The sequence below is a fragment of the Homo sapiens genome, chromosome 15 (assembly GCF_000001405.40).
Source record: "Homo sapiens chromosome 15, GRCh38.p14 Primary Assembly".
Lineage (NCBI taxonomy): Eukaryota > Metazoa > Chordata > Mammalia > Primates > Hominidae > Homo > Homo sapiens.
Window position 1 is genome coordinate 98,238,122 of NC_000015.10, and position 9,492 is coordinate 98,247,613.

General features: G+C 36.9%; 1 annotated feature.

Annotated features, from left to right (window-relative positions):
• Window positions 4,965-5,134: an enhancer, noted in NCBI's record as "experimental_42800 CRE fragment used in MPRA reporter constructs". NCBI's record gives its function as "activates a minimal promoter by MPRAs in K562 erythroleukemia cells, with activity observed for both the introgressed and non-introgressed 15:98786400 variant alleles {active_cell/tissue: K562}" and the evidence as "EXISTENCE:reporter gene assay evidence [ECO:0000049][PMID:34662402]".

Genomic DNA, 9,492 nt, shown 5'->3' on the forward strand with positions numbered 1-9,492 from the left:
AATTAAAAATGCATAGTATTTTTAATTTCATATTTTAAATAATTAAAAATGCATAGTATTTTTAATTTCATATTTATGCTCCTCTTGTTTTTGTTATTCAACAAAACAATGTTATTTCATTTTTCTTATTTCGAGTTTTCTACACATTGTACCATACTGTAGTTAGTCTTTTGAAACTTGATTTGTCACTTAACACTATATTTCTAAGCTTAATTGATATTAGTTCACGCTGCTGCTGTTTGTTTTCACTGGATAAGGTACTGCAGCATATGATTACTTTAAAATGTATTTATTTGTCTTCCTGCTGATGGACATTTAAGTTGCTTATAATTTTACTGCTACTAGGGATAAGTTGGTTATGATCGTCCTTGCATACAGCTCCTGCACACCATGTGCACACCATACACAAAGTTTCTAGGATATATTTAGGAGTAGAATTGCTAGATCATGGCATACATGAATGTTCAACCTTCATGATAATAGCAAATTATTTTCCAAAGTAGTTATAACAGATCATGCTTTAACCAGTGTATCAGAGAGATCATTGTTCTAGCCTCTCCAAATCTGTATTATCTGACTTTTAAATTTTTCCCACCTAGTTGGTATACTATATCTCATATGCTTTTTAATTTCCTTATTAATGAAGTAGAGTATGTTTTCATATGTTTACTCACTATTTATTTTTCATCTTCTCTGAAAGTCCTGATCTCATCGTTTGCAAAAGACAAGTGGAGTTCACTTCCACCCAACAAGCCTACTTTTAGAGTTCCCCTCCTCTCACCCCTGGGCCTCAGCTAAATGGACAACTCCAGGATCCTGTCCTTACTGCATTCTGTACTGCAGGAGTCAGCATAGTAAGCAGATCACCCAATCAAGGAAGCCCATCTCACATGTGATAGATGTCACTCCCAGCAGCCATCCAAACAGGGCTGTCCCAAGTAAATCTCCCTGGAACTGATGTGTGGACACTGGGGGAAAGAAGCTCTATTTCTGTTAAGTTTCAGGGCAATGTCAACATCCCTTCTTCCTGTGGAGGAAACTTAAGCCCAAAGGAAAGGATCTGGCCCACAAAAAGAGGGAAGCAGACTGAGAGTGAGAGAGAGCCTTGACAACATTATTTGAGCCCCTGGATCTCGCTATACCTGAAGACAGACCTGACTTCCCAGTAAGATGAGACAACAAGCTCTCTTTTTTGCTTAAGTTATTTTGAGTTGGATTCCTATCACTCATAACTAAAATAAAGCAAAACTGTTTGAGGACAAAAAATGAAACTGTAAAAAAAATTAAATGTTAAAAACTTTTCATTACTTTGAGCCAAGAAGAACTAGGAAAACATTGGCATAAAGGTTGTAATAACAGCTGACATTTCTATGGTATTTATAGTCTACAAAGCACTCTAACATTAACTAAGTTCTTTCTTCTCGTAATTCTGGGAGATGAATGGGGTAAGTATATTATCATTACCCACATTTCACAAACGCATTTCAAGATTTGAGTCTTGAATACGGGATTTCTGTCCTAAGCTTTTTGTTTTTGTTTTTGTTTTTTGGCTATCTAGACTGTTCTTTAATTATTATCATTCCCAGTACTCTCAGAACTGTTTAGATAAAGAATAACAAATTTACTTTACAGTTACAGAGAACAGAGAATGTTGAGGGAAGTTGAAGTAGATGAGCAAACATACATTGATCATGCATGGTGTCCCATAGTCAGCAAATGTCTGATGTAAGTATTCCTCAATTTAACTTTTTTTTTCTCCAAGTCCACCTACGTAGAAAACTTTTTTAAAAAAGTAAAACATTTGGCTCCCCAGCTTGAGAAAAAAGTGCTTCAAGATGTTCTTAGATTTGCTTTGGAAGACCAAATTACAAGATTATTCCAGAATCATTATTATCAACCAGATTATGGACTTCCCATGGTAGAAACATGTTTTATATGCATGATAACTACTTAATAACTGAACCTTTGATTACCAACACTAGGCTTAGTGGTGAGAAGAGACAGCATAGAACCTGCAGCAAACAGGCAATGCTCCCAGAAGCTAATATATGGCAGCCTGATTTTGAAGGAGAGAAAGCCTTACTAAATTTCAGCATTGCATGGACCTGTACACCCTTGGAGCTAAAAAATATAACTGATAATCACTTTAGGGGAACAGAATATGAGTCACAGCTTATAGCAATTCTGAGAAATCGTAATCAAAGAAGCAAATTCTAAAGCAAAGGCAAAGGACATGAACAAACTAGACACAAAGAAGAGAAATACCTGAGTAATAAAGAAGAGGACCTGAACTGGATGGGACAAAGAGAGTTTCCTTAGTCACACATGACCAAGAATTCCAGTAATGTCTTCATGAAGAAGGATTACCCATAATATATGCATGTGAATGCATATGTCTTTGTTAGATTTAACTCTGTAGTAAACTTTGCATTTGTTTTCACTTTTTAACCCTTTTGTTGACTCTTTTAGATCCATGCTAAATATTCCTTTCAGATTTTTCTGTAATTAGATCTCTGGGCCTGGTGAATTTCAAGGAGACACTGCAGTCAGGATTCTGGTGACCAGATGGGTAGGACAGATAAGCTGCATGAATTTCCATCTGACGTTTTGCCCAAGCCTGCTCCCTTTTAGTGGGTCATGTGCCATGAGATCATATACAAATTCCTAACAAAGCAATGTGTCCTCAAAGGCAAGCTAGCACATAGAAATAAAAGATTACCCAACCACTTACCAGTGAAAGGTTTGGGCACCCCAAAGGGGATTGGACTAGAGTTGAGTTAAAAAGCTCAGAACTCACTGGAGCCATTTGTGCTCGTTCCAGCAAGTCTCCTGCGGATGTATATACTGTTCTGTAGCAGTGATGAGTGTCCAACATTTGTTTCTCTATTATTTTTATATGCATCATTATCCAACAGTATGGACATAGAATTAAAAATTCCAAAGAGTTCATGTATACCAAGTTTTATGTTGAAGGTATTCAAAAGTGTGAAAGAAACTTCAAGTTGACTTCCAATGATGCATTTTCTCTGTCCTCTTTATCCACACAGCTCCACAGGGTTAACTCAGTAAAAGACTACATTTCCCAGCCTCTCCTGCAGAGAGGTGTGGTCATGTGACCAACATCTGCCAACTGAGTAGTAAGTGGAAGTGTTGTGTGATTCTTCCAGGGAGTTTCACTTAAAAGGAGAGGTTTGAGTTTCTTTCCTCCTACTGCTGTAATGTGGCATTAATATGATGTGATTAGATGGTAACGTGATATTACATGATGTAATGTGATGTGATAAGTGAAAATCCAGCTTCCATCTTAGAATAGGAGGATGAGGGCTCCAATCCCGGGAATGTAGAATAAAGAGCTGGAAGTCACTGGGATGCCTGAAAACCCGAGTGGTTACACACCATCCCTGGACTGCCCATTTCTGAACTTCATTACATGAGATAAACTTCTAACTTTCTCTTATTTTCTATTACATTAGAAGTTATAAATAAGCTTCTAACTTTCTTCTATTTTCTATTAAATGGCAGAGGCAGAGGTTGCAGTGATCTGAGATCGCACCACTGCCCTCCAGCCTGGGCAACAGAGTGAGACTAAAACCATAAAACTCTTAGAAGAGAGCATAGGGGAAAAGCTTCATGACATTGGACTTAGTGATGACTTGATGGGTATGACACCAAAAGCACAGACAACAAAAGAAAAACAGATAGATGGAACTTTATCGAAGTTTAAAACTTTTCTGCTTCAAACACTATCGGCAGAATGAAAAGGCTACCCACAAAATGGAAGAAAATTTTTGCAAATCACATATGGGATAAGGAATTAATATCCATATTATTTAAAGAATTCTTACAATTCAAAAAAACCCCTTAACAGCCTGATGCTAAAATGAGAAAAGGAGAATTGTCTCCTGAGAAAATATACACATGGTCAATAAACACAGGACAAGATATTCAATATCAGTAATCAACAGGGAAATGCAAATCAAAACCACAATGGGATAACATGTCACACCCATTAGAATGGCTATTATCAAAAAACAGAAAATAAGTTTGTGGAGAGTATCTTAGTCCATTTTCTGTTGCTATAAATGAATACATGAAATTAGGTAATTTACTTTTTAAAAATATATATATGTATGTATATATATATATTTCTTACAGTTCTGGAACTGGGAAGTTCAAGGTCAAGCAGTTGCATCTTATGAGGACCTTCTTGCTGGTGGGACTCTGGAGAGTTTCAAGGTGCCACAGGGCATCACATGATGAGGGGACAGAGTGTACTAGCTCAGGTCTTTCTCCCTCTTCCTTTAAGGCCACCAGTCCCACTTCTTGATAACCCATTAATCCATTAATCCGTTAGTCCACGGGTGAATTAATTCATTCCTGAGGGCAGAGCCCTCATGACCCAATCACCTCTTGAAGTCCCCATCTCTCAGTACTGCTACATTGGTTCAACATGAGTTTCAGAAGGGACAAACATTGAAACCATAGCAGAAAGGATGGAGAGAAAGTAGAGTCATGTTATATCACTGGTAATAATGTAAAATAGTAGAGCCACTGTCAAAAACAGTACAGCAATTCTTCAAAAAATAGGTAAAATTATTTTATGATCCAGCAATTCCACTTCCAGACATATACCCAAAAGTAAAGATATTGTAAAAGTGAGGGCATTGGAAAAAAAGTAAGAAAAATAAGAATTCCAACAGATATTTGTATATTCATGTTTATAGCACCATTATTGACAATAGCCAAATGTAAAAACAACACAAATGTCCACCAACAGATGAATTACTAAACAAAAATGTGGTATATACTACAATGGAAGAATGAATTCTGACACAAGCTTACAACATAAATGAACCTTGATGACATTATTTTAAGTAAAATAAGTCAGTCATAAAAGGGCAAATACTACAGATTTCACCTATATGATGTACCTGGAGTAGTCAAATTCATAGAAACAGAAAGTAGAATGGTGGATGGCATCCGGGTCAGGGGCGGGTGGGGTCAGAGGGCGGGATAAGGACTTAGTGTTAAACATGTACTGAGTTTCAGTTGGGGAAGAAGAAAAAGTTCCAGAGACGGGTGGTGGTGATGGTTGCACAGTAATGTGAAGGTACTTAATGTCACAGAACTGTACACTTAAAAATGGTTAAAATGGTAAATTTTATGTCTATGTATATTTTACCTCAATAAAAAAAATCAAACTGTATTAAGCTTAAAAATTAGCACCCAAAGTTCCCTACATCCTAATCCCTGGAACTTGTTAATATGTTATATAATCACAAAGTCTCCTTTTTAAACTTTTATTTTAGGCTCAGAGGATACACGTGCAGGTTCATTACATAGGTAAATCATGTATCACCGGGGTTTGGTGTACAAATGATTTAATCACCCAGATAGTAGAATAGTACCTGATAGGTAGTTTTTATACCCTATCTGTCTCCCACTCTCCACCCTCAAGTAAGCCTCAGTGTCTCTTGTTCCTCTCTTTGTATCCATGTGTACTTAAAGTTTAGCCCAGTATGAGTGAGCATGCCCACTTGGTTTTCTGTTCCTGCATTAATTCACTTAGCATAACGGCCTCCAGTTGCAACCCTGTTGTTGCAAAGGACATGGTTTTCTTCTTTTTATGGCTGCATGTTATTCCATGGTGTATATGTACCACAGTTTAGTTATTCAGTCCACCATTGATAGGCATTTAGGTTGATTCTTCGTCTTTGCTATTGTGAATAGTGCCGCGATGAACATAAGAGTACATGTGTCTTTTTGGTAGAATGACATATTTCTTTGGGTATATATAAGCAGTAATGGGATCGCTGGGTCAAATGGTGGTTGTCTTTTAAGCTCTTTGAGAAATCTCCAACCTGCTTCCCACAGTGGCTGAACTAATTGTAATGTTGTACATTCCCAACAGCAGTGTACAAGCATTCCCTTCACTCTGCAATGCCACTAACATCTTTTATTTTCTGACTTCTTAATAATAGTCGTTCTTACTAGTGTAAGATGGTATCTCATTGTGGCTTTGATTTGAATTTCTCTGATGATTAGTGATAGTGAGCAACTTTTCATATGCTTGTTGACTGTGTGTATGTCTTCTTTTGAGAAGTGTCTGTTCATATTTTTTGCCTTTTTTTTTTTTTTTTTTTTGAGACACAGTCTCGCTCTGTCGCCCAGGCTGGAGTGCAGTGGCATGATCTCAGCTCACTGCAAGCTCTGCCTCCTGGATTCATGCCATTCTCCTGCCTCAGCCTCCCCAGCAGCTGGGACTACAGGCGCCCACCACCACGCCCGGCTAATTTTTTGTATTTTTAGTAGAAACGGGGTTTCACTGTGCTAGCCAGGATGGTCTCGATCTCCTGACCTCGTGATCCGCCTGCCTTGGCCTCCCAAAGTGCTGGGATTACAGACGTGAGCCACCGCACTCGGGTCTCTTTGCCTATTTTTTAACAGGGCTGTTTGCTTTTTGCTTGTTGATTTAAGTTTCTTATAGATTCTGAATATTGGACCCTTGTTGTATGCATAGTTTGCAAATATTTTCTCCCATTCTGTGGGTTGTCTATTTGCTCTGCTGTAGTTTCTTCCGCTTTCAGAAGCTCTTTAGTTTAATTAGGTCCCTCTTGTCTATATTTGTTTTATTGCGATTGCATATGGAGATGTCAACATGAAATCTTTACCAAGACCTGTGTCCAAAATGATATTTCCTATGTTTCCTTCTAGGGTTTTTATAGTTTTAGGTCTCACATTTAAGTCTTTAAGTTGATTTTTATATATGGTGCAAGGAAGGGGTCCAGTTTCAATCTTCTGCATATGGCTGGCCAGTTATCCTAGCACCATTTATTGAACAGGGAGTCCTTTCCCCATTGCTTGTTACTGTCAACTTTGTCAAAGATCAGATGGTTATAGTTATGCAGTTTTATTTCTGGGTACTCTGGCCTGTTCCATTGATCTACGTGTCTGTTTTTGTACCAGTACCATTCTGTTTTGTTTACTGTAGTGTATTATCGTTTGAAGTGAGGTAGTGTGATGTCTCTGACTTCCTTCTTTTTGCTTAGGATTGCTTTGGCTATTTGGGCTTTTATTTTTGGTTTCATCTTCATTTTCAAATAGTTTATTTTTTCTAATTCTGTGGAAAAAAATGATGCTGATAGTTTGACAGAAATAGCATTGAATCTGTAAATTGCTTTGGGTAGTATGGCCATTTTAACAATACTGATTCTTCCAATCCATGAGCACGGAATGCTTTTCCATTTGTTTGTGTCATCTCTGATTTGTTTTAGCAGTGTTTTGTAATTCTCATTGTAGGGATCTTTCACCTCCCTGGCTAGCTGTATTCCTAAGTATTTCATTCTTTTTATGGCTATTATGAATGGGATTGCATTCTTGATTTAGCTCTCAACTTGGACAGTATTGATGCATAGAAATGCTACGGATTTTGGTACATTGAGTTTGTATCCTAAAACTTCACTGAAGTTGTTTATCAGTTCTAGGAGCCTTTGGGTAGGAACTACAGGGTTTTCTAGGTATAGAACCATATCATCTGCAAAGAGAGAAAATTCGAATTCCTCACTTCCTATCTGGAAGCCTTTTATTTATTTCTCCTGCCTGATTGTTCTGGCTAGGACTTCCAGTACTATGTTGAATAGGAGTGGTGACAGTAGGTATCCTTGTTGTGTCCCAGTTCTCAGGGGGAATGCTTCCAGCTTTTGCCCATTCATTATGATGTTGGCTGTAAGTCTGTCATAGATGGATCTTATTTTGAGGTATATCCCTTTGATGCCTAGTTTGTAGAGGGTTTTCAACATGAAGGGATGTTGAATTTTATCAAAAGATTTTTCTGCATAAATTGAGATGATCATGTGGTTTAAGTTCTGTTTATGTAATGAATCACATGTATATATTTGTGTATATTGAACCAACCTTGCATCCCAGGAATAAAGCCTACTTGATTATGATGGATTCACTTTTTGATGTGCTGCTACATTTGATTTCTAATATTTTGTTGAGGATTTTTTCATCTATGTTCATCAGCGATATCAGCCTGATGTTTTCCTTTGTTGTTGTACCTCTGCCAGGTTTTGGTATCAGAATAATGCTGGCCTCATAGAATGAGTTAGGGAGGAGTTCATCCTCCTCAATTTTTTGAGATGATTTTAGTAGGATTGGTACCAGCTCTTCTTTACATGTCTGGTAGGATTCAGCTGTGAATCTGTCTTGTTTAGAGTTTTTTCTGGTTGGTAGGTTCTTAATTACTAATTCAGTTTCAGAACTTGTCATTGGTCTGTTCAGGATTTCAATTTCTTCCTGATTCAATCTTGATAGATTGCATGTTTCCAGGAATTTATCCATTTCTTCTAGGTTTTCTAGTTTGTGTGCATAGAGGTGTTTGTAATGCTCTCAGAGCTTCTTTGTATTTCTGTGGGGTCAGTGGTAATGTTACCTTTGTCATTTCTGATTGTGTTTATTGGGATCTTTTCTCTTGTTTTCTTTATTAATCTAGCTAGTGGTCTAGCAATGTTATTTATTCTTTCCAAGAACCAATTTTTGGTCCATCAATCTTTTGAATGAATTTTTGCATCTCAATTTCTTTCAGTTCAGCTCTGAGTTTGGTCATTTTTCTTCTGCTGCTAGCTTTGCAGTTGGTTTGCTCTTGTTTTTCTAGTTCCTCTAGGTGTGATGTTAGGTTGTTAATTTGACATCTTTCTGACTTTTTGAGATAGGCATTTAGCACTATAAACTTTCTTCTTAACACCTCATTAGCTATGTCCCAGAGATTCTGGTGTGTTGTATCTTTATTTTCATTAGTTTCAATATTTTCTTTTATTTCCGCCTTAATTTCATTCATGAGCAAGTTGTTTAATTTCTATGTAATTATATGGTTTTGAGTGATATTCTTGGCATTGATTTCTACTTTTATTACCCTATGGTCTGGGAGGTGTGGTTGGTATGATTTCCGATATTTTTAATTTTTTAAGAGTTTTTTTATGACTGAGAGTATGAATGATCAATCTTGGAGTATATGCTGTGTACAGATAAGAGGAGTGTACATTCTGTTGTCATTGGGTAGAATATTCTGTAGATGTCTATCTGGTCCATTTGGTCAAGTGTATCTGTACAGATACATACATATCTATGTATGTATATATTTATATATGTATACATAAATATGTATATATTTATGTATACATACATAAATATGTATATATTTATGTATACATACATATATACATATTTATGTATGTATATGTATATATACACATCTCATGCAATACCCTTCTTTGTCCTTTTTGATCATTGCTGGTTTAAAGTCAGTTTTGTCTGAAATAACAATAGCAACTCCAGCCCTTTTTTGTTTTCTGTTTGCTTGCTATACCTTTTTCCATCCCTTTACCTTGAGCCTGTGAGTGTCCTTGCATGTGAGATGGGTCTTTTGAAGACAGCACACAGTTGGGTTTTGCTTCTTTATCCAACTTTCGATTTTCTGTCTTTTAAGTGGGA